The sequence below is a fragment of the Homo sapiens genome, chromosome 16, assembly GCF_000001405.40.
Source record: "Homo sapiens chromosome 16, GRCh38.p14 Primary Assembly".
NCBI lineage: Eukaryota > Metazoa > Chordata > Mammalia > Primates > Hominidae > Homo > Homo sapiens.
In genome coordinates this window covers 3,711,411-3,735,661 of record NC_000016.10, presented here as the reverse complement: position 1 = coordinate 3,735,661, position 24,251 = coordinate 3,711,411, and the positions used below count along the sequence as shown (strand labels likewise).

Genomic DNA, 24,251 nt, shown 5'->3' with positions numbered 1-24,251 from the left:
CCTCTCTCCTTGGCGCTGCCCCTGAGTGCCAGGCAGTGCAGACTGAGCCAAACAAAACCCCATCCCTGGCCAGGCGCGGTGGCTCACACCTGTAACCCCGCACTTTGGGAGGCCGAGGCAGGCGGATCACAAGGTCAGGAAAGGGAGACCAGCCTGGCTAACACAGTGAAACCCCATCTCTACTAAAAATACAAAAATTTAGCCGGTTGTGGGAGGGGGCACCTGTAATCCCAGCTACGAGGGAGGTTGAGGCAGGAGAATCGCTTGAACCCGGGAGGCGGAGGTTGCAGTGAGCCTAGATTGCGCCGTTGCACTCCAGCCCAGGAGACAGTGCGAGACTCCGTTTCAGAACAAACAAAACCCCATCTCCGCCCCCAAGGGAGTGGCTGTGTCCTGGTAGGATGTGAAACAAAAAGAACCCAGACCCAAGCATGGTGTGCTCTGAGCGTGGCAGAGCTCTGAAGGGGAAGGAGCCTTGGGGAGGTGGCGTGTGGGCCAGACCCGCCCACCACAGGAAGGTGCTGGAAGAGGACCCGCCAGGCGGTGGGAGGAGGCGCGCTGTGTGCGGGTTTGTGCGGCTGTCTGGGGAAGAGATGATGGTGGCGTGGGTGTGGGCTGTAGCTGTAGGTGCAGGGAGAGCGATGACGAACGTTGAAGGCTGCAGCCCCAGAACTTGGGACAGGCGATTGTGACCAGTGAGGAAAAGCGGTGAATGGAGGTGGCTCTTGCGTGGGCTGCTGCCATGGGTGAGGCAGCCGGGAGCCGGCTGGGGACATACTGCCACTCTGGTGCCTGTCCCATATGAGAGCACGTCTGTGAGGTGGGTGCCGGATGGGCTGTAGGCGGAGCGTGGGGCCTGGGCCGCTTCCGCCACACACACTCGTGCTCACTGCACAGGTGGTTGAGAGGCAGCCACCTGCTGGACGGCGCCCCAGAGTGTCATTCGCAGGACAGAGGAGGCGCGGGCAGGGGGTGGCGTGGGTTTACGCCCTAGGTGGCTCCTAAGCAGAGCTCCTGGCCTGTTGTCTTCGGACTTGCTCCCGCTGGAGTGTAGCTGGTCTCACTGGTGTCTGGTGAGTTAATGCTTGAGTTCCATCTCCTAAGGGTGACACGGGAGGTTACCGCGTCCGAGACAGGCTTTGCGCAGCTGAGTTCCACCCCAGGAGGGGGCACCTGCCTGTGGCATGGCAGCAGTGGGGTTGTCCAGAAGACAGGCCTGATAGGGGCTCCTGCTGGGGCAGCCTTCCCTGTGCACCGGGGACATGCATGTGTTAGGAGGCGGGATGCTGAGGTGTCGGCATGTAGACCTGCTGTCCCTTGTGTGTTTGGTTCATGGACAACAATGGGCAGGGACATGCCTTCGTCAGCAACACCCCAGGAGCTCGCTCTGGGGGTCAGCCTTAGTGAGGGCTGGTGCGTGGGGTGGAGCACTGCTTTGCTATTAGCTCTGCTCTGCATCATGCTGTCAATTCTGGGAAATGGGGAAAGGCTCGCGATAGTGTCAGGTGGGGCGAGAAACGGAACCAGCTCCCTGTGTGCAGTCCCAGCTTCGTGAGGAATGTCGCAAACACGGAGACAAATGTGCCCAGGGAAAGCTCCAGAACACAGAACACTGCTGCTCGGGAAGACCAGAAAAACAAAACTTTTTAAAATTACTTGTCTATATTTTCTTAATTTCATGAACATATTTATTTTATAATTTTGTAAAAATAGACTTCCAGGCCGGGCGTGGTGGCTCACGCCTGTAATCCCAGCACTTTGAGAGGCCAAGGCAGGTGGATCACTTGAGGTCAGGAGTTTGAGACCAGCTTGGCCAACATGGTGAAACCCCGTCTCTACTAAAAATACAAAAATTAGCCAGGTGTGGTGGCGCACGCCTGTAGTCCCAGCTACTTGGGAGGCTGAGGCAGGAGAATCACTTGAACCCGGGAGGCACAGATTGCAGTGAGCCAAGATTGTGCCACTGCACTCCAGCCTGGTGACAGAGCGAGACTCCATCTCAAAAAAAATAGGCTTCCTTTGTTTTAAGGCTGACACAAAAATTGAGCACAGAGTTCCAGTATATTGCAGCACGCAGTTTCTCCTGTTACTAATGTCTTACCTTAGTGTGGCACATTTGCTGCCACGGTGAGCCATTTGTTGATGTTGATGCATTATTGTTAAGTCTACACTTCGTTCCAATTTCCTCAGTTTTCCCCTGACGTCCCTTTTCTGTCTCTGAATCCTGCGGAGGACCCACGTGATATTTGGGCTCCTCGGGCTGCTTGTCGGTGGGGTGGGAATTTTTTTTTTTTTTTTTTGAGATGGAGTCTCGCTCTGTCGCCCAGGCTGGAGTGCAGTGGCGCCATCTCAGCTCACTGCAAGCTCCGCCTCCCGGGTTCACACCATTCTCCTGCCTCAGCCTCCCGAGTAGGTGGGACTGCAGGCACCCGCCACCACGCCTGGCTAATTTTTTGTGTTTTTAGTAGAGACGGAGTTTCACCGTGTTAGCCAGGTTGGTCTTGATTTCCTGACCTCGAGATCCGCCTGCCTTGGCCTTCCAAAGTGCTGGGATTACAGGTGTGAGCCACCCCGCCCGGCTGGATTGTTGAATTCTCTCTGGACTGACCCCTCTCTTTGAACACCAAGAGTCTCTCTCATCTTGTTAAAAATGAAACTCTCTGGCTGGGCACGGTGGCTCATGCCTGTAATCTCAGCACTTTGGGAGGCTCAGGCGGGCGGATCACCCGAGGTCCGGAGTTCAAGGCCAGCCTGACCAACATGGTGAAACCCCATCTCTACTAAAAATACAAAAATTAGCTGGGTGTGGTGGCAGCACCTATAATCTCAGCTACTAGGGAGGTTCAGGCAGGAGAATCGCTTGAACCTTGGAGGCAGAGGTTGCAGTGAGCCGAGATCGCGTTATTGCACTTCAGCTTGGGTGACAAGAGCGAGACTCTGTCTCAAAAAAAATGATAGGTAGCCGGGCATGGTGGCGGGTGCCTATAATCCCAGCTACCCAGGAGGCTGAGGCAGGAGAATCACTTGAACCCAAGATGACACCACTGCACTCCAGCCTGGCAACAAGAGCAAAACTCCGTCTCTCAAAAAAAATAAAGCTCTCTGTTAAAGTGTAAGTGAGTGGTAATCCTGCGTTCTTTCCAGAGGAGGAGCCTGTGGGCTGAGAGCAAGCCCACCTTCAGCCAGTCAGGCGCAGCACTGATGGCCCCAGCAGGGAGCCAGCCTGCTCTCCGTGGGCCTTGAGTGGACCCCGCAGGGGCCTCAGAGTCCCTGCTCTTGATGGGGCAGCTGCTTTTCCCATCAGCAGCTTTCCTGTCTCCTGGAAGCTCTCATGCTTTCTCGGGTGTGTAGAGCCTTCCTCAAGGCAGACAGCTGCTGACCACAGTTGTGACGTGGAATCTTCCGCATCTGGTTGTGGCACAGTGGAAACAGCCCCCACTGCCCTCATTTGTTAATTTCTGAACTCGCACTCTGGGTCTCTTTTCCCCTTTAGAGGCAGCGTGGCATAAAGCTGATAATGACACCAGCCTGGCCGAGGACAGGCCCTGCTCTGTCCCGAAGGCTGCAGCACCTACAGCCACCTGTAGCCGTTCACGTATGGGGTCTGCCTGGTGGTGACCTACTTTGGCCTGAGCTTCCTGATGCCCACGGCCTGGGAGCTGGGCGTCCGTGCCAAGTGTGGAGGGGCACTTGCCTGGTCTCACAGCCTTGCGTGTTGTTGCAGGGCAGTCAGGGCGACAGCAAGAATGCCAAGAAGAAGAACAACAAGAAAACCAACAAGAACAAAAGCAGCATCAGCCGCGCCAACAAGAAGAAGCCCAGCATGCCCAACGTGTCCAATGACCTGTCCCAGAAGCTGTATGCCACCATGGAGAAGCACAAGGAGGTAGGCGTGGGCTGCGGTGCTGCAGCCGTGCCTCTGGCCGGGAGGAGGGAAAGACTCGCAGCTGGCGGGCGTGGGCCCGTGTGCAGGTCTGTGGTGGGAGGGAAGTGGCCCCCAGGAAACCAAGTGGACCAGTTGGGTGACATCATGCAACGTGTCACCAATTTTGTTCCATCCCAAGGCATCAGGGCCATCAGGCTCAGCCACCTGCCTATTCTGCAGGCTGGGTGGCTGCGCCTGCCCTGAGCTCACCACTGGAGGTGCCATGTCCCTTGTGTGGGACTAAAGCCCCTCCTCTCCTGCAGGTCTTCTTCGTGATCCACCTGCACGCTGGGCCTGTCATCAACACCCTGCCCCCCATCGTCGACCCCGACCCCCTGCTCAGCTGTGACCTCATGGATGGGCGCGACGCCTTCCTCACCCTCGCCAGAGACAAGCACTGGGAGTTCTCCTCCTTGCGCCGCTCCAAGTGGTCCACGCTCTGCATGCTGGTGGAGCTGCACACCCAGGGCCAGGACCGCTTTGTCTACACCTGCAACGAGTGCAAGCACCACGTGGAGACGCGCTGGCACTGCACTGTGTGCGAGGTAGGCCCTGCCCCCACCCCCACCCCCACAGCCGGCCTGGGGTCTGACGAAGCATCCTGTCCCTTTGCATGGGTGCCCGGGTTGGTGTCTGTACCTGATGGTGGCTGCACTGACTCCTCCAGAACTAGGACAGCGTCACAAGGCAGAAGGCGTTGCTGTGTGTGTGTTTCCTAAACCTGCTCTGTGTAGCCACAGCCACAGGCCTGACCCTGGGGACGGCCAGAGGGAGGCTCTGCTGGGAAGTCTGGCCTGTCTGTGCCCAGTTCTAGTCTTGCTAAATGGCTGGAAACACCCGCTGTCCTGTTGGCAGCTTGGGCCCCTCTGGCCACTTGTTCCTGAAGGACCCCCCGGTCATGCTCCCTCACTCCCCTCTAGGAATTTTGACCCCCCTGTGAAATGACGTGGGTGTCCCTTGCATGGGCCGAGTCAGGCTGTGCAGGGCAGGCAGGTGACAGATCCCACCATCCCCCTCCCAGGACAGTCACCATCACCTGCCAACCCGGAGCCTCCTCACTTGCTGTGGTGTCTGTAGCGGGGCAGAGCGGGTCCTCAGCAGAGCGAGGGCCTTTCTTCCCTCCCCACCTTCACACACTTCTTCCGCTTTCCACCTTTCTCCAGTCTCCTTTGTCCTCTTTCTAGTTTCTGAATGCGGCAGTTTTCATATCTTTTTGTGAACACAGTCATGGTACCTGGTCCTAGGGCTCCATCAGGTTGCCAGGTGCGAGCAGTTTTCAGTAACTTGGGCTTGCGCGTTGGGGAAGTCCCACTGGTGCACTGCGGATAGCTCAGGCCTTCCCAGAGGCACTTCACGGCAGCTGTCGGCGCTTTGGGAGGGACCGGCCTCCCTCAGCCTTTCACTGTCTGGCTTCATAGTTTGAGTACAGGAGTTGGACAGGCTGTGGCAAGGGCTGATGTGACTCCCAGGTCAGAGGAAGTCGGAAGGAAGGGGGCTGGTGTCTACTGTCCGTGAGCTTACAGGCCAGGGGTTCTTGGGGCATGGGTCAGGTTATCTTTGAGCCTTCAGGGCTGTTGCCAGGAGTGAAGGTCCTTGGGAGCAACACATAGGCAGTCCATGCCCCCGTCCTGTCCATGATCCCATGTTGTCCATGATCCCATCCCGTCCATGATCCCATCTTGTCCGTGCTCCCGCCCTGTCCGGGTCTCCCACCTGTCCGTGCTCGCATCCTGTCTGGGTCTCCTATCCTGCCTGGGTCTCCTGGCACAGACCCAGACTTAGCGGTGGAGGGAAGCAGCCAGGATGCCTGGTGGTACTGGGTCCCATGCTGACACCGGCCTGTCCCCTTTCCTTGCTTGCAGGACTACGACCTCTGCATCAACTGCTATAACACGAAGAGCCATGCCCATAAGATGGTGAAGTGGGGGCTGGGCCTGGATGACGAGGGCAGCAGCCAGGGCGAGCCACAGTCAAAGAGCCCCCAGGAGTCACGCCGGCTGAGCATCCAGCGCTGCATCCAGTCGCTGGTGCACGCGTGCCAGTGCCGCAACGCCAACTGCTCGCTGCCATCCTGCCAGAAGATGAAGCGGGTGGTGCAGCACACCAAGGGCTGCAAACGCAAGACCAACGGGGGCTGCCCGGTGTGCAAGCAGCTCATCGCCCTCTGCTGCTACCACGCCAAGCACTGCCAAGAAAACAAATGCCCCGTGCCCTTCTGCCTCAACATCAAACACAAGCTCCGCCAGCAGCAGATCCAGCACCGCCTGCAGCAGGCCCAGCTCATGCGCCGGCGGATGGCCACCATGAACACCCGCAACGTGCCTCAGCAGAGTCTGCCTTCTCCTACCTCAGCACCGCCCGGGACCCCCACACAGCAGCCCAGCACACCCCAGACGCCGCAGCCCCCTGCCCAGCCCCAACCCTCACCCGTGAGCATGTCACCAGCTGGCTTCCCCAGCGTGGCCCGGACTCAGCCCCCCACCACGGTGTCCACAGGGAAGCCTACCAGCCAGGTGCCGGCCCCCCCACCCCCGGCCCAGCCCCCTCCTGCAGCGGTGGAAGCGGCTCGGCAGATCGAGCGTGAGGCCCAGCAGCAGCAGCACCTGTACCGGGTGAACATCAACAACAGCATGCCCCCAGGACGCACGGGCATGGGGACCCCGGGGAGCCAGATGGCCCCCGTGAGCCTGAATGTGCCCCGACCCAACCAGGTGAGCGGGCCCGTCATGCCCAGCATGCCTCCCGGGCAGTGGCAGCAGGCGCCCCTTCCCCAGCAGCAGCCCATGCCAGGCTTGCCCAGGCCTGTGATATCCATGCAGGCCCAGGCGGCCGTGGCTGGGCCCCGGATGCCCAGCGTGCAGCCACCCAGGAGCATCTCACCCAGCGCTCTGCAAGACCTGCTGCGGACCCTGAAGTCGCCCAGCTCCCCTCAGCAGCAACAGCAGGTGCTGAACATTCTCAAATCAAACCCGCAGCTAATGGCAGCTTTCATCAAACAGCGCACAGCCAAGTACGTGGCCAATCAGCCCGGCATGCAGCCCCAGCCTGGCCTCCAGTCCCAGCCCGGCATGCAACCCCAGCCTGGCATGCACCAGCAGCCCAGCCTGCAGAACCTGAATGCCATGCAGGCTGGCGTGCCGCGGCCCGGTGTGCCTCCACAGCAGCAGGCGATGGGAGGCCTGAACCCCCAGGGCCAGGCCTTGAACATCATGAACCCAGGACACAACCCCAACATGGCGAGTATGAATCCACAGTACCGAGAAATGTTACGGAGGCAGCTGCTGCAGCAGCAGCAGCAACAGCAGCAGCAACAACAGCAGCAACAGCAGCAGCAGCAAGGGAGTGCCGGCATGGCTGGGGGCATGGCGGGGCACGGCCAGTTCCAGCAGCCTCAAGGACCCGGAGGCTACCCACCGGCCATGCAGCAGCAGCAGCGCATGCAGCAGCATCTCCCCCTCCAGGGCAGCTCCATGGGCCAGATGGCGGCTCAGATGGGACAGCTTGGCCAGATGGGGCAGCCGGGGCTGGGGGCAGACAGCACCCCCAACATCCAGCAAGCCCTGCAGCAGCGGATTCTGCAGCAACAGCAGATGAAGCAGCAGATTGGGTCCCCAGGCCAGCCGAACCCCATGAGCCCCCAGCAACACATGCTCTCAGGACAGCCACAGGCCTCGCATCTCCCTGGCCAGCAGATCGCCACGTCCCTTAGTAACCAGGTGCGGTCTCCAGCCCCTGTCCAGTCTCCACGGCCCCAGTCCCAGCCTCCACATTCCAGCCCGTCACCACGGATACAGCCCCAGCCTTCGCCACACCACGTCTCACCCCAGACTGGTTCCCCCCACCCCGGACTCGCAGTCACCATGGCCAGCTCCATAGATCAGGGACACTTGGGGAACCCCGAACAGAGTGCAATGCTCCCCCAGCTGAACACCCCCAGCAGGAGTGCGCTGTCCAGCGAACTGTCCCTGGTCGGGGACACCACGGGGGACACGCTAGAGAAGTTTGTGGAGGGCTTGTAGCATTGTGAGAGCATCACCTTTTCCCTTTCATGTTCTTGGACCTTTTGTACTGAAAATCCAGGCATCTAGGTTCTTTTTATTCCTAGATGGAACTGCGACTTCCGAGCCATGGAAGGGTGGATTGATGTTTAAAGAAACAATACAAAGAATATATTTTTTTGTTAAAAACCAGTTGATTTAAATATCTGGTCTCTCTCTTTGGTTTTTTTTTGGCGGGGGGGTGGGGGGGGTTCTTTTTTTTCCGTTTTGTTTTTGTTTGGGGGGAGGGGGGTTTTGTTTGGATTCTTTTTGTCGTCATTGCTGGTGACTCATGCCTTTTTTTAACGGGAAAAACAAGTTCATTATATTCATATTTTTTATTTGTATTTTCAAGACTTTAAACATTTATGTTTAAAAGTAAGAAGAAAAATAATATTCAGAACTGATTCCTGAAATAATGCAAGCTTATAATGTATCCCGATAACTTTGTGATGTTTCGGGAAGATTTTTTTCTATAGTGAACTCTGTGGGCGTCTCCCAGTATTACCCTGGATGATAGGAATTGACTCCGGCGTGCACACACGTACACACCCACACACATCTATCTATACATAATGGCTGAAGCCAAACTTGTCTTGCAGATGTAGAAATTGTTGCTTTGTTTCTCTGATAAAACTGGTTTTAGACAAAAAATAGGGATGATCACTCTTAGACCATGCTAATGTTACTAGAGAAGAAGCCTTCTTTTCTTTCTTCTATGTGAAACTTGAAATGAGGAAAAGCAATTCTAGTGTAAATCATGCAAGCGCTCTAATTCCTATAAATACGAAACTCGAGAAGATTCAATCACTGTATAGAATGGTAAAATACCAACTCATTTCTTATATCATATTGTTAAATAAACTGTGTGCAACAGACAAAAAGGGTGGTCCTTCTTGAATTCATGTACATGGTATTAACACTTAGTGTTCGGGGTTTTTTGTTATGAAAATGCTGTTTTCAACATTGTATTTGGACTATGCATGTGTTTTTTCCCCATTGTATATAAAGTACCGCTTAAAATTGATATAAATTACTGAGGTTTTTAACATGTATTCTGTTCTTTAAGATCCCTGTAAGAATGTTTAAGGTTTTTATTTATTTATATATATTTTTTGAGTCTGTTCTTTGTAAGACATGGTTCTGGTTGTTCGCTCATAGCGGAGAGGCTGGGGCTGCGGTTGTGGTTGTGGCGGCGTGGGTGGTGGCTGGGAACTGTGGCCCAGGCTTAGCGGCCGCCCGGAGGCTTTTCTTCCCGGAGACTGAGGTGGGCGACTGAGGTGGGCGGCTCAGCGTTGGCCCCACACATTCGAGGCTCACAGGTGATTGTCGCTCACACAGTTAGGGTCGTCAGTTGGTCTGAAACTGCATTTGGCCCACTCCTCCATCCTCCCTGTCCGTCGTAGCTGCCACCCCCAGAGGCGGCGCTTCTTCCCGTGTTCAGGCGGCTCCCCCCCCCCGTACACGACTCCCAGAATCTGAGGCAGAGAGTGCTCCAGGCTCGCGAGGTGCTTTCTGACTTCCCCCCAAATCCTGCCGCTGCCGCGCAGCATGTCCCGTGTGGCGTTTGAGGAAATGCTGAGGGACAGACACCTTGGAGCACCAGCTCCGGTCCCTGTTACAGTGAGAAAGGTCCCCCACTTCGGGGGATACTTGCACTTAGCCACATGGTCCTGCCTCCCTTGGAGTCCAGTTCCAGGCTCCCTTACTGAGTGGGTGAGACAAGTTCACAAAAACCGTAAAACTGAGAGGAGGACCATGGGCAGGGGAGCTGAAGTTCATCCCCTAAGTCTACCACCCCCAGCACCCAGAGAACCCACTTTATCCCTAGTCCCCCAACAAAGGCTGGTCTAGGTGGGGGTGATGGTAATTTTAGAAATCACGCCCCAAATAGCTTCCGTTTGGGCCCTTACATTCACAGATAGGTTTTAAATAGCTGAATACTTGGTTTGGGAATCTGAATTCGAGGAACCTTTCTAAGAAGTTGGAAAGGTCCGATCTAGTTTTAGCACAGAGCTTTGAACCTTGAGTTATAAAATGCAGAATAATTCAAGTAAAAATAAGACCACCATCTGGCACCCCTGACCAGCCCCCATTCACCCCATCCCAGGAGGGGAAGCACAGGCCGGGCCTCCGGTGGAGATTGCTGCCACTGCTCGGCCTGCTGGGTTCTTAACCTCCAGTGTCCTCTTCATCTTTTCCACCCGTAGGGAAACCTTGAGCCATGTGTTCAAACAAGAAGTGGGGCTAGAGCCCGAGAGCAGCAGCTCTAAGCCCACACTCAGAAAGTGGCGCCCTCCTGGTTGTGCAGCCTTTTAATGTGGGCAGTGGAGGGGCCTCTGTTTCAGGTTATCCTGGAATTCAAAACGTTATGTACCAACCTCATCCTCTTTGGAGTCTGCATCCTGTGCAACCGTCTTGGGCAATCCAGATGTCGAAGGATGTGACCGAGAGCATGGTCTGTGGATGCTAACCCTAAGTTTGTCGTAAGGAAATTTCTGTAAGAAACCTGGAAAGCCCCAACGCTGTGTCTCATGCTGTATACTTAAGAGGAGAAGAAAAAGTCCTATATTTGTGATCAAAAAGAGGAAACTTGAAATGTGATGGTGTTTATAATAAAAGATGGTAAAACTACTTGGATTCAAAGATGGTTCAGATTGGCTAATGACTTACAGTTAGCTCAACGGCTCGTCATTATAGGATTGCAGATGCGGGCCCGGTGCGGTGGCTCACGCCTGTAATCCCAGCACTTTGGGAGGCCAAGGCGGGTGGATCATGAAGTCGGGAGTTCGAGACCAGCCTGGCCAAGAAGGTGAAACCCCATCTCTATTAAAATACAAAAAAATTAGCCGGGTGTGGTGGCAGGCGCCTAGAATCCCAGCTACTCAGGAGGCTGAGGCAGAGAATCGCTTGAACCCAGGAGGCGGAGGTTGCAGTGAGCCGGGATCGTGCCACTGCACTACAGCCTGGGCAACAGTGAGATTTTGTCTCAAAAAAACGATTGTAGGTGGTGCTGGCCGGGCTTGGTGGCTCATGCCTGTAATCCCAGCACTTTGGGAGTCTGAGGCGGGCAGATCACATGGTCAGGAGTTTGAGACGAGCCTGGCCAATATGGTGAAACCCCATCTCTACTACAAAAAATACAAAAAATTGGCCGAGGTGTAGTGGCTCACGCCTGTAATCCCAACACTTTGGGAGGCCAAGGCAGGCAGATCACGACGTCAGCAGTTCGAGACCAGTCTGACCAGCGTGGTGAAACCCCGTCTCTACTAAACATACAAAAATTAGCTGGGCATGGTGGCGCACGCCTGTAATCCCAGCTACTCAGGAGACTGAGGCAGGAGAATCACTTAAACCCGGGAGGTGGAGGTTGCAGTGAGCCAAGATTGCACCACTGCACTCTGGCCTGGGCGACAGAGCAAGACTCTGTCTCAAAAAAAAAAAAAAAAAAAAAATATTCAGCCGGGCATGGTGGTGTGCACCTGTAGTCCTAGCTACTAAGGAGGCTGAGGCAGGAAAATCGGTTAAACCCAGGAGGCGGAGGTTACAGTGAGCCAAGAGCGCGCCACTGCACTCCAGCCTGGGCAACAGAGTGAGACTTCATCTCAGAAAGAAAAAAAAAATTGCAGATGTTCAGTGGAGTTTTTCTCTACAGAGCATGTGTTTGATGCTATCTTTGAAATTCTAGCATGTTAGAAACATAGAATGAGCTGTCCCTGGATAATGTGGCATGGAGAGGCTTCTGCTTCTAAGATCTCAGGTTGGGCTGGGCATGGTGGCTCACGCCTGTAATCCCAGCACTTTGGGAGGCTGAGGTGGGCAGATTGCCTGAGCTCAGGAGTTGACAACCAGCCTGGGCAACGTGGTGAAACCCCGTCTACTAAAATACAAAAAATTAGCCAGGCGTGGCAGCATGCGCCTATAGTCCCAGCTACTCGGGAGGATGAAGCGGGAGAATTGCTTGAACCCAGGAGGCAGAGGTTGCAGTGAGCCGAGATCACGCCACTGCACTCCAGCCTGGGGAACAGAGCAAGACTCTGACTGAAAAAAAAAAAAAAAAAATCTCAGGTTGAAGACGTGTAACTGTCTTCCTTTTTTCTTTTTGAGACAGAGTCTCCCTCTGTCACCCTGGCTGGAGTGCAGTGACGTGATCTCGGCTCACTGCAACCTCTGCCTTCCGGGTTCAGGCGATTCTCCTATCTCAGCCTCCCGAGTAGCTGGGACTAGAGGCATGTGCCACCATGCCCAGCTAATTTTTGTATTTTTAGTAGAGGCAGGATTTCGCCATGTTGGCCAGGCTGGTCTTGAACTCCCGACCTCAAGTGATCCACCCGCCTTGGCCTCCCAAAGTGCTGGGATTACAGGCGTCAGCAAACATGCCCGGTCCTTTTGATTACTATAAAATAGAACCAAAGATTTTATTTGAGCCAAAACATGCTTGGAGCATTGCATGGTGAAATAAGCTGTTTTTAAAAAAGAAACACACCTTTTATGAAGGAGAGGATTGCACATCAGTGGCCATTTTGCTACCAGGACATTCTCAGCACAGGACAGTGTGTGCCGGGAAGCAGAGGCTGCGCCCACAGCGCCGTAACAGACGGGCAGGGGCATGTAGGCAGGAGAATAACTTCATCTCAGACCATGAAGACATCGCAGCCTCATGGACGTATGGATTTTATGTGTTAATTCCACATGAATTACTTGTATACACTTCATAATAAATAGGCAGAGGTGGGAAAACATAGGTCCCTTATAAGATACTGAAGAAATTTAAGTGAGTGTAATGCCCAGACTAGCAAAGTAGATTCTGAGGAGCTTTGATGAGTAGATGACAGTGCTTTGCCGTTGATCTAAATTGTGCATAAAACGGTGCTTTTGATGGGCTCACATCTTTTTATAGAGGACTCCTCGAACTCCTGACCTCAAGTGATCCACCTGCCTCGGCCTCTCAAAGTGCCAGGATTACAGGTGTGAGCCACCACGCCCGGCTACTTCCTTCCTTTTTATGGCTGAGTAATATTCCATTGTATGAATAGACCACATTTTGCTGACCCATTCATCGTTCATGGTTACCTGAGTTGCTTCCACATTTTGGCTATTGTGAATAAAGCACCGGGCATTTTTCACGGCCCTCAGCTGACCCCAGTGGAAGGCAGTGGCTTCATATGGGCAGCCTCGTATTGGCCATAGAGGTGGGCAGGAGACTTGGGGGTTCTTCCCTTTCCCTCCCCAAGCAGCTCCCAGTCATTCTCCACTAATTCAAGTCAAGTACGTCTGCGTGTAAACATTTTTTCCTCTTTCTAGATTCTTGGTTTACGCGGAGCCTGAAGTCCATGTGTGGCCACCTTAGGACATGCCTTGGATCCCTCAGTACCTTACAAAGCCACAGGTCCAGCCGGGCGCAGGGGCTCACGCCTGTAATCCCAGCACTTTGGGAGGCCAAGGCAGGCGGATCACGAGGTCAGGAGATCGAGACCATCCTGGCTAACAGGGTGAAACACTATCTCTACCAAAAATACAAAAAAATTAGCTGGGCATAGTGGCACGTGCCTGTAGTCCCAGCTACTTGGGAGGCTGAGGCAGGAGAATCACTTGAACCCGGGAGGCGGAGGTTGCAGTGAGCCAAGACTGCGCCACTGAACTCCAGCCTGGGTGACAGAGTGAGACTCCGTCTCAAAAATAAAAAAATAAAAAAAAGTCACAGGGCCCTGGGCTAGCAGAGGCCCCAGGACCACAAGGCTCTGAGGCTGAGGGTTTGTCTCTGAAGGCTACAGGCCAACAGGACAGAAGGCTCTGGGGGTTTTTCTGGAACTTGGTAGATTTGCCCTCCACAGAACTTGGGGCCTGCCAGTCTTGGCAGAGGCCCCCCACCCTTAACTAAAGCCCAGGTTTCCCTCCTTTTGCCAAATATCACTTCCCCTTGTTGAAACTGGCCTGGTGTGGTGGCTTAAGCCTGTAATCCCAGCATTTTGGGAGGCCGAGGCAGGCGGATCACTTGAGGTCAGGTGTTCGAGACCAGCCTGGCCAACATGGTGAAACCCCGTCTCTACTAAAAATACAAAAATCGGCCAGGCATGGTGGCGGGTGCCTACAATCCCAGCTACTCAGGAGGCTGAGGCAGGAGAATCACTTGAACATGGGAGGCAGAGGTTGCAGTGAGCCGAGATCACACCACTGCACTTAAGCCTGGGCAACAAGCACGAAACTCTGTCTCAAACAACAAAAAACAAAACAAAACAAAAAAAGAAATAAAAGGCCTAAGCCAGATATATTGCCCCATGGACCAATGTGACAGCTGTTACAAAACAGAGGATTGGCCGGGTGCGGTGGCTCACGCCTGTAATCCCAGCACTTTGGGAGGCAGAGATGGGCGGATCACGAGGTCAGGAGATCGAGACCATTCTGGCTAACATGGTGAAACCCCGTCTCTACTAAAAATTCAAAAAGAAATTAGCCGGGTGTGGTGGTGGGCGCCTGTAGTCCCAGCTACTCGGGAGGCTAAGGCAGGAGAATGGAGTGAACCCGGGAGGCAGAGCTTGCAGTGAGCCGAGATCACACCACTGCACTCCAGCCTGGGCAACAGAGCAAGACTCTGTCTCAAAAAAAAAAAAAAAAAAAAAAAGAGAGAGATGATTTCCTGAATGGAGCGAAAAAGGGATGAAATGTGAAGCCGAGACACCCCCCACCCACCCCCATTCCCTGAGGACATGCTGGAAAGGGCTCTGCCTGGAGTGTGGTGATAGGGAACACAGGCAGGCCCATGCAGGCCTATAGGAGGAGGCAGAAGGAGTTTGGAAAGGATTGTAAATATGTGCATGTGTGTTGGTAGGGGGACCACTGGAGGATCTGAGAGACGGAGTATGATCCGGCTGCTGTGGAGGATGGGAGGCTGGCAAGAGCGGAAGCAGGGGGCCTGTCAGGGCTGCTGGAGTGGTCTGGGTGACAGGACCCTGCTCTTCCACCCAAATCTGCCCACCCTCTTTCCATTCCCTTCTCAATTGCTTAAGCTGGGAACTTGCCACTTTCCACCTGGAAGCGTTTCCTGACACATCCTCTTCCACCCAGCTCTGTCCCGGCCCCACTGAAGGTCACTCTCCTGGCTCCTGTGCTTCTCTGCAGCACGTGCCACGAGCTGGAGTCGCTATTTTTGTACAGTTATTAGAGTGTGGCAGTGAATCTTCAGTGTGCCTCCGAATTACCTGGGAACCTCAGTGGAGCCGCCTGGGCCCCACTCCGGGACTGAGGAGGTGCCGGGAAATCGGCATTATGAGGCTGCAGCTGGGTCTGGACCAAATGTTAGACCAGGGTGTATGGTCTGAATCTCCAACTAGTCTCTAACCTCCAGCAAGGTGTAAAGCAAAAACAAATTCTTTTTTTGCTGTTGTTTTTTGAGATAGAGTCTCACTCTGTTGCCCAGGCTGGAGTGCAGTGGCACGATCTCAGCTCACTGCAACCTCTGCCTCCCGGGTTCAAGCGATTCTCCTGCCTCAGCCTCCCGAGTAGCTGGGATTATAGGCATGTGCCGCCATGCCCGGCTAATTTTGTATTTTTAGTGGAGACAGGGTTTCTCCATGTTGGTCAGGCTGGTCTTGAACTCCCAACATCAGGTGATCCGCCTGCCTCGGCCTCCCAAAGTACTGGGATTACAGGCGTGAGCCACCGTGCCCAGCCGGCAAAAACACATTATAAGTCCCCCAACCCATGGAATGGATCATTCCTCTCCACCAAGGGGATTTCAAAGAAACCTAAAAAACTAGTTCAGGCCATAATTGGAAGGATGGGGTGGGTCCTGCCTCATTACACCCTCCACCCCTTGGAAATGAGGCACAACTGACCAGCGTTAACATTACAAAGGACTTTTTTTTTTTTTTGAGACGGAATCTTGTTCTGTTGCCCAGGCTGGAGTGGGAGTGCAGTGGTGCGATCTTGGCTCACTGCAATCTCTGCCTCCTGGGTTCAAGCGATTCCCCTGCTTCAGCCTCCCGAGTAGCCTCAGCTGTACACAGGTGCACACCACCACACCCAGGTAATTTTTTTTGTTTTTGAGACAGACTTTCACTCTTGTTGCCCAGGCTGGAGTGCAATGGTGCGGTATCAGCTCACTGCAACCTTCACCTCCTGGGTTCCAGCGATTCTCCTGCCTTAACCTCCTGCGTAGCTGGGATTACAGGCATGCGCCACCACGCCTGACTGATTTTTTGTATTTTTAGTAGAGACGGAGTTTCTCCCTGTCAGTCACGCTGGTCTCGAACTCCCGACCTCAGGTGATCTGCCCGCCTCAGCCTCCCAAAGTGCTAGGATTACAGGCGTGAGCCACTGCTCTTGGCCTAATTTTTGTATTTTTAGTAGAGATGGGGTTTTGCCATGCCGACCAGGCTGGTCTCAACCTCCTGACCTCAAGTGATAAGACCACCTTGGCCTCCTAAAGTGCTGGAATTACATGCGTAAGCCACCATGCCAGGCCACCTTTGCAGGTCTTTTCCTGATCCTGAGGGTCTAGGAATTTTTAACGGTCTGAATAAACAATATTTGCGAAAACATTTGCCATCTATTACCTGTAAGGGTGGTCATCTATGAGACTTCCTCTACATAATAAGAACCTTGGTCTTCACAACCTGTTTTTTGTTTGTTTGTTTGTTTGTTTGTTTTGAGACAGGGTGTGGCTCTCTTGCCCAAGCTGGAGTTCAATGGCACGAACTTGGCTCACTGCAACCTCTCCCTCCTGGGCTTAAGCAATCCACCCACCTCAGCCTCCCTTGTAGCTGGGATTACAGGCCTCCGCCACCACATCCGGTACAGGTATGTTTGGTACAGACAGGGTCTCACCATGTTGCCCACGCTGCTCTCCAACTCCTGACCTCAAGCAATTCGCCCACCTCGGCATCCCAAAGTGTTGGGATTACAGGTGTGAGTCACCGTGCTCGTGCCCACAACCCCTTATCTTCACCCAGACACTCTTTTTATTGATTCCAGGTCTGTATAACTCAACTCTTTTTTTTCTTTTTTTTGTTTTCTTTTTTTTTTTTTTTTGAGACGGAGTCACAGCTCTGTCGCCCAGGCTGCAGTGCAAGTGGCACGATCTCGGCTCACTGCAACCGCAGCCTCCCGGGTTCACGCTATTCTTCCGCCTCAGCCTCCCCAGGAGCTGGGACTACAGGCACGTGCCACCTTGCCCAGCTAATTTTTTGTATCTTAGTAGAGATGATGGGTTTTCACCATGTTGGCCAGGCTGGTCTCGGACTCCTGACCGCAGGCAGTCCGCCCACCTCAGCCTCCCAAAGTGCTAGGATTACAGGCGTGAGCCACCGCGCCCAACCAGAACTCAACTCTTTTAACCAATTGCCAATCAGAAAGTATCTGAATCCACCTATGACCTCTAAGTATTTCACCCTTTGAGTTGTCCTGCCTTTCCACACGGAACCAACCTATGTCTTACATGCATTGACTGATGTCTTATGTCTCTCTAAAATGTATAAAACCAAGCAAGCTGTAACCCAAGCACCTTGGGCCAAGTTCTCAGGACCTTTTGAGACTGTGCCTCCCTCCATGCACACTCATATTTGGCTCAGAATAACCTTCTAAATACTTTAGAGTTTGACTCTTCTCGACAAGGACAAGAGAAGTGGAATAAACGAATAACCGCAGTTTTCCTGGTGGTATTGGTCACTGGGTTCAGGTTTTGGAGTAGTAGCCAGTCAAGCCTGGAATCCCCTTCCTCATTCGCTTTAGCTTTTTGTCCAGTCTTGGTTTGCAAGAGACTTGCAGCGGCCTAGACGGATGGCCGGGATTCACAAAGGTCGCAGACACGGGAACTGCTTCTTCCCCAGCGTCGCCTCCACACCCTCGCGTGGATACTGACATCCGCCCCATTCCAGGAATGCGCACAGCTAGGCGCAGCCGGCCAGCGTGGGCCGGGGGCGGCGGGGCCACCTCCCCCACCTCCGCGCGCAAGGCCCGTCGCCCTTGACAACGCGATCCAAGGTCACGGAGGTCCCACCCCCAGGCCCGACCGTCCACGAGACGGGTAGTACCCCGCCACGCGCCCGAGCAGGCAGCTGCCCGGACAGCCCGGCGCCCGCCGTGACGTCACCGCCCCGCGCCCGAGGAAGCCCCGCCCCGCGCAGCCCCGTCCCGCCCCTTCCCATCGTGTACGGTCCCGCGTGGCTGCGCGCGGCGCTCTGGGAGTACGACATGGCGCGCGAGCTGCGGGCGCTGCTGCTGTGGGGCCGCCGCCTGCGGCCTTTGCTGCGGGCGCCGGCGCTGGCGGCCGTGCCGGGAGGTGAGGGCGTCCTGGCTGGACGGGCAGCGGGCGGGCCGGGCCACGGAGACGGCAGGGACGTCCCTGTGCTCCGGGGAGCGAGGCGCCGGCACCTGCTTCACAGGCGTGGGAGGTCCGGCGAGGCCAAGCGCGGCAGACGCGTTTACTTTCGCTCCGCTCCTCGCCAGCTCCAGCTTGGCTGCCTTTTCCTCGGCTGGACTCCCCTCGCCACCCGCCCATGGGAGCCCTGAAGGAGGCTGGGTCTTGGGGGGTCGCGGGGTCGGGCGGAGCGGCTGCGGGGTCGTCCCTCCTGGAGCTTCGGTCCAGTCAGGTAGCGCACGTGCAGGTGGAGCCGCTGCGGAGCGCGGAGTCTTTGCGGGTGCATGTTGCGGGGAATGGACTCACTCGGGGTGATCGTGCTAGTTCCATGGATCGTGCTTTACCCCTCCCCGCCTCCCAGTAGCGCACTGAGGGTTCATTTGTTAATTCGTTCATTGGACGCACATGTGAGCGCCCGCTCAGTGCCCGGCGCCGTGCAGGTTCTGGGGACGCCACAGTGAACAAAACCTATAGCAGTCATCCGGGTCCCCAGAGCAGGTGGACTCGATGTCGTTGACGCAGCTGTGTCCTCGGGGCCTGGAATTGATGGATGCGCCAATAAATGTTTGTAAAACAGAGAGAACGACCCTAACCTCTGCTTTCCCAGTCCCCACTCGGAGGTAACAACAGTGAAAGTTTCGGCATTGCTTCGGGGCTGTACACAGTGTTATACGTGTAAATATAAATGTCTGCGTATAAGTATTTTTTATTCTAAAAAGCCTAAACCATGTATGCATTGTGCTACGTTGTACTTCAGAAAATTTTAACGCTCCCAGCATTCTTTCCACATCTTTTCATGTCAGTGTATACAGGTCCATGTGCCTTCCAGTGACCACACAGTATTCTGTATGATGGACGTGTCATTTGTTTAAACATTGTCCTATTAGTGGACGCAATAAAGGTTATTTCAGGTTTTACTTTTTATTACAATGCTGCATAGAATGGGTGAGTACTTAAATATTTGTTCACGTGCGGTATTTCTTTAGCCTTACATAATTAGAATTTTAGAATTGATATTTCAGAGCCTATGCATTTTTGAAATGTTAGCAGATACTGCCAAATTGTCCAAAAAGGCCTTATCAATTTATATCCCCTTTAGCAGGCATCAAGACTGCCTATTCCAAAGGTATTTTCTTCAACGCTGAATCTTATGTCTTTTCAAAACCAGTGGTCTATAAAAGATACCTTGTGGCCGGGCGCGGTGGCTCACGCCTGTAATCCTAGCACTTTGGGAGCCTGAGGTGGGCAGATCAGGAGTTCAAGACCAGCCTGGCCAACATGGTGAAACCCTGTCTCTACTAAAAATACAAAAATTAGCTGGGTGTGGTGGCGCGCGCCTGTAATCCCAGCTTCTTGGGAGGCTGAGGCAGGAGAATCGCTTGAACCCAGGAGGCAGAGATTGCAGTGAGCTGAGATTGCACCACTGCACTCCAGCCTGGGCGACAGAGTGAGACTTCATCTCAACAACAAAAATAATAATAATTTTCCCTCAGAAAGTGATGCTGTTGCTCTCTTCTAGCACCAGTGTCTGATCAATTATTTATTTATTTTTTTGTCTTTATGAGGTGGGGTTTCACTATGTTGGCCAGGCTGGTCTCCAGTGCCTGACCTCAAGTGATCTGCCTGCCTTGCCCTCCAAAATGCTGGGATTGCAGGCGTGTGTCACCGTGCCTGGCCAACTGTTCTGTTAATTTGGTTCTCGTTTCTTTTGTAGCTGACTCGGGTTTTTTCCCCCTTGGAGGTTAAGATTTTTTCTCTTTGTCGTTTGTGGTCTCGCGTCCACAGGTGTTTGTGATTCATGCTTTGTATCATGCACTGTCCCTTCCATTTGGAAAATATGTCAGTTTTCAGCCCAGGGACATTTTAATTCTGTTTCTTTATCTCTTTTTCTTTTTCTTTTTTTTTGAGATGGAGTCTTGCTCTGTCACCCAGGCTGGAGTGCAGTGGCGCGATCTTGGCTCACTGCAAGCTCCGCCTCCCGGGTTCAGGCCATTCTCCTGCCTCAGCCTCCCGAGTAGCTGGGACTTTAGGCGCCCACCACCATGCCTGGCTAATTTTTTGTATTTTTAGTAGAGACGGGGTTTCACCCTGTTAGCCAGGATGGTCTCGATCTCCTGACCTCGTGATCCGCCCACTTCGGCCTCCCAAAGTGCTGGGATTACAAGCGTGAGCCGCTGTGCCCAGCCCTTTATCTCTTTTTCTTAAAAATTGTCTCTCTCCTCTCGTCCTCCATCTTCTGGTGCGGTGGTTCAAGCATTCCTCTGCCTGAGTCTAAGAAATGGAACATGTTCTTGGCAGCCTTCTGCGTGGCAGGTGCCCTTGTCATTGTCACCTGTGTGGATGAATGGGAAGGTAAATTGTTTGGATTGATTGAACGATGAGAGAATTTAGCTAAGAAAATACATGTCTTGTGCAACAGGGGAGAAAGAATAGTTTAGGCAGATCCACCTATGTAGAAAATCCAGACCTCTTGAAATTTTTTTCTTTTCTTGGGAAAGTATTTCCAGGTTGTAGCATGTGCCTGGCTTCAGGTGTGCGTGTCTTATGTCTGTGGAATCCTCTCGCCCATGCTACGCTGCCTCAGTCACCCATGAGCTCAGCCCTCTTACCCTTTCAGACCTCACTGACCCCTGACACTGCCAGCCCTGTCACTTGCCCTCAGAATATCTTATTTGATTTTTTTTGAGCCGGAGTCTTGCTCTGTTGCCCAGGCTGGAGTGCAGTGGTGCAACCTCAGCTCACCACACCCTCCGCCTCCTGGGTTCGAGTGATTCTCCTGACTTCGCCTCCCACGTAGCTGGGACTACAGGCGCATGCCACCACACCCAGCTAGGTTTTGTATTTTTAATAGAGATGGGGTTTCACTATGCTGGCCAGGGTGGTCTCGAACTCCTGACCTCATGATCCACTAGCCTTGGCCTCCCAAAATGCTGGGATTACAGGCGTGAGCCACTGCGCCTGGCCTACCCTCAGAATATTTCTGTGAGGGGTGGGCTAGGATATCCGCTTGTGGACTTTATATTTGTCATTTTTGCCCATAACAGTTTATTCAGCAAATACATTTCCAATGCCCCCGAGTCGTCAAAGAAAATGTGACCCTGCTGTCTGGAGTCATAGGTGGCTGCTGAGCAGTGTACCAGGGCCATCTTGGTGGCCTGGACAGCACATTAGAGAAACAAGAGCTGCTTGCCCCAGGGTAAGTTTCACAGATGAGGAGCGATTTGGGCCGAGTGTCCAAGGCTGTTTTCACTGGAGGGGAGGGAGGAACGTTCCATGTCTGGAAAGCTGCAGGTGCAAGGGTAAGGAGATAGCTCTGAATAATTGGTTTGATGAAAGACTTGCGGGAGTGTGCAGGAGTGATGGTGAATGAGGCTAGCAGTTGTGTCTTTTCTGTCAGATATAAGCTTGTGCGTAGGAGCCTCATCCTGCATTCCTCAGGACAGTCACAGAGCCAGCCCTGGGCCTGGTGTGTGGGGAGCCCAGCCACGTGGCCCACCATGAGAGCTTTTCGTCAGAGCTCCAACTGTCAGAAGTGTCAGATGTGCCAGTAGAAGGATGAGGCCGCCTCCTAAAGGAGAGGGAAGACCTGGAAAGATCAACAGCAGACGCAGTCTCCCAAAGCAAACGTGATTCTGTGGTCAGGCAGGTACGGTGACGGGTTGGTCATTTTGCATGACGAGGTGACTGCCACAATCACCAAGGGTGCCGAGTCCAGTCTCCTGGTCATGCCAGATGCTCTTGTTTTCGTGAAATTGCCAGAACATGACTGAGGCAACCACGATAGGACTGGTTGGTGCAGGCGTTAAGATCTTGGGCCTTTTTGTTCTCTGTAAGCTGGAGCCTTTGCTGGAACTTCCTGTCTTGGAAATCAGAGTTGTGAGAGTAGGTCCCCTGCCAGCACCAGGAAGGTCGGGAGAGCTGGTTTCCTCACTTTGCTCAGGGCTCAAGTACTAGCTAGTTTGTTTCATCTTCCAAAAAGAGCCTCACCTGGACCCCGCTCCTGTAGGTGGTGCCTGCCTGCTGCGCCCTCCCCTTCAGTACTTCGTTTTGTTGACGGGTTTTGCCTCCTCCCTCTGCTCTCCCTTTGTTTGGAGCCTGTGCTGTTTGATTTCCGTGTCTTGTGTGCTGCACCCTTCAGGAGAATTCAGGTGAATTTCTGGTGCTCTCCGGCTGTTCTTTTCAGAGTGGAGGGGAGTAGTACTTGCTGGTCAGTTGCGACTCTGTCTGTGAAACAGCTCTTTGTGTTGCTGAGATGACGCTAGAGGTGTAGCGTCCATGACATGTTTGTCGTCTGATTAAGCTGTGGTGCTGGCACTTAGACGGCAGAGGAAGGTGTGGCCCAGCTGTCCAAGGCCACCAGGAGGACCTTCAGCTTAGTTAGGACCAAGGGAACTGAGTTATCTGAGTGCCTGAAAAAGAACACATCAGGCCGGGCGCGGTGGCTCTCGTCTGTAATCCCAGCACTTTGGGAGGCCGAGGTGGGTGGATCACTTGAGTTCAGGAATTTGAGACCAACCTGGCCAACATGGCGAAACCCCGTCTCTACTAAAAATACAAAGAAATTAGCCAGGGTGGTGGCAGGCGCCTGTAATCCCAGATACTTGGGAGGCTGAGGCACGAGAATTGCTTGAACCTGGGAGGTGGAGGTTGGAGGTTGCAGTGAGCCAAGATTGTGCCACTGCACTCCCTCCTGGGCGACAGTGCAAGACTCTGTCTTGGAAACAAACACATCAATCCGAATGTAAGAGATTAGCAAAGCGTTTATTGGTTACTGGGTGAGTAGTTGGCCTAAGCTAAGACAAAAGAGGAATCTCCAAGTATTTTGCTACCCCTTGGCAGGAAGAGAGGGAATGCAGCTTGCGGGGTGGGGATGGGGGTGTCAGGTTGATAAGAAAACTGTGGGAAAATAAACATTTACTCCTGCCCCCCATGTCAGTAAATACCATGTGACAAAGGTGAGTTCCATGAAAGAGGCTGTTACTGAGGCCTGTGATACTTGCTTGTCTCAAAATGCTGACATATCTTTTTTTTTTTTTTTTTTTTTTTTTTTTTTTTTTGAGACAGATTCTTTCTGTCGCCAGGCTGAAGTGCAGTGGCATGACCTCAGCTCACTGCAACTTCCGCCTCCTGAATTCAGGCAGTTCTCCTGCCTCAGCCTCCTGAGTAGCTGGGACTACAGGTGCATGCCACCATGGCCAGCCAATTTTTGTATTTTTAGTAGAGACGAGGTTTCACCGTGTTGGGCAAGATGGTCTCAATCTTTTGACCTTTTGATCTGCCTGCTTTGGCCTCCCAAAGTGCTGGGATTACAGACATGAGCTACCACGTCGGGCCTGACAAAGAATCTTGATAGCGATTGAAAATGTATCCATTCATACTCAAATGAAGTAAAAAGTGCTTTTGGGTTCAAAGCCAGAGAATGTTCATGGATGGCGTTTTTGGTGCCTCAAGTGTAGCCAGCTAGAACTTTTCTTACCACCGTCCTGCTTAGTCCTACTGAAGACCTGCCTTCTACTAGGAAGCTGCTCTTAGTCCACAAAGTGGCTTCCCTGTAGTTCCACAGCATTTAACAAAATAGATTTCAGGGAGTTTATTTGTGGTGTGGCTGGTTATTTCTGCTAAAACCACTAGGAATTACCATAAAAGCTGTAGCTTGGAGAAACAGTATCTACTTGCGGGAGTATTACTGCCACCTGTGTTTTTTTTGTTTTTGTTTTGGTTTTTGTTTTTTTTTTGTTTTTTTCAAGATGGAGTCTTGCTCTGTTTCCCAGGCTGGAGTGCAGTGGCACGAACTCGGCTCACTGCAATCTCCACCTCCCGGGTTCAAGCAGTTCTCCTGCCTCAGCCTCCCAAGTAGCTGGGGCTACAGGCATGCACTACCGTGCCCGGCTAATTTTTGTATTTTTAGTTGAGGTAGAGTTTCACCATGTTG

At 53.4% G+C, this 24,251-nt stretch overlaps 2 protein-coding genes across 11 annotated transcripts in view, besides 4 other annotated features; both read left to right on the top strand.

Moving 5' to 3' along the window:
• Positions 1 to 10,608, top strand: part of CREBBP (CREB binding lysine acetyltransferase) — a 155,660-nt gene extending 145,052 nt beyond the window's left edge. For all 9 annotated transcript variants that reach the window (XM_047433625.1, XM_047433624.1, XM_005255124.5 and 6 more), the window contains 3 exons: positions 3,725 to 3,886; positions 4,189 to 4,470; positions 5,788 to 10,608. In XM_047433625.1, coding sequence (XP_047289581.1) covers positions 3,725 to 3,886; positions 4,189 to 4,470; positions 5,788 to 7,944 — 2,601 coding nt within the window. In that variant the 3' untranslated portion in view covers positions 7,945 to 10,608. The remainder of the gene's footprint in view (positions 1 to 3,724; positions 3,887 to 4,188; positions 4,471 to 5,787) is intronic.
• Positions 3,785 to 3,945: a silencer, noted in NCBI's record as "fragment chr16:3781718-3781878 (GRCh37/hg19 assembly coordinates)". NCBI's record gives its function as "represses an EF-1alpha promoter that drives an FKBP-Casp9 reporter gene in an ReSE screen in phorbol 12-myristate 13-acetate-treated (for megakaryocytic differentiation) K562 erythroleukemia cells {active_cell/tissue: K562(+PMA)}" and the evidence as "EXISTENCE:reporter gene assay evidence [ECO:0000049][PMID:32094911]".
• Positions 17,788 to 18,397: a silencer, noted in NCBI's record as "silent region_7139". NCBI's record gives its function as "represses an Ori minimal core promoter by ATAC-STARR-seq in GM12878 lymphoblastoid cells {active_cell/tissue: GM12878}" and the evidence as "EXISTENCE:reporter gene assay evidence [ECO:0000049][PMID:35858748]".
• The window catches only part of TRAP1 (TNF receptor associated protein 1), a 59,488-nt gene continuing 53,374 nt past the window's right edge, over positions 18,138 to 24,251 (top strand). For both annotated transcript variants that reach the window (NM_001272049.2, NM_016292.3), the window contains exon 1: positions 18,138 to 18,241. In NM_001272049.2, the coding sequence (NP_001258978.1) occupies positions 18,154 to 18,241 (88 nt within the window). In that variant the 5' untranslated portion in view covers positions 18,138 to 18,153. The remainder of the gene's footprint in view (positions 18,242 to 24,251) is intronic.
• Positions 18,418 to 18,537: a silencer, noted in NCBI's record as "silent region_7138". NCBI's record gives its function as "represses an Ori minimal core promoter by ATAC-STARR-seq in GM12878 lymphoblastoid cells {active_cell/tissue: GM12878}" and the evidence as "EXISTENCE:reporter gene assay evidence [ECO:0000049][PMID:35858748]".
• Positions 21,392 to 21,900: an enhancer, noted in NCBI's record as "H3K4me1 hESC enhancer chr16:3763763-3764271 (GRCh37/hg19 assembly coordinates)". NCBI's record gives its function as "activates a minimal SCP1, AML or CMV promoter by ChIP-STARR-seq in naive H9 embryonic stem cells {active_cell/tissue: H9 hESC(naive)}" and the evidence as "EXISTENCE:reporter gene assay evidence [ECO:0000049][PMID:30033119]".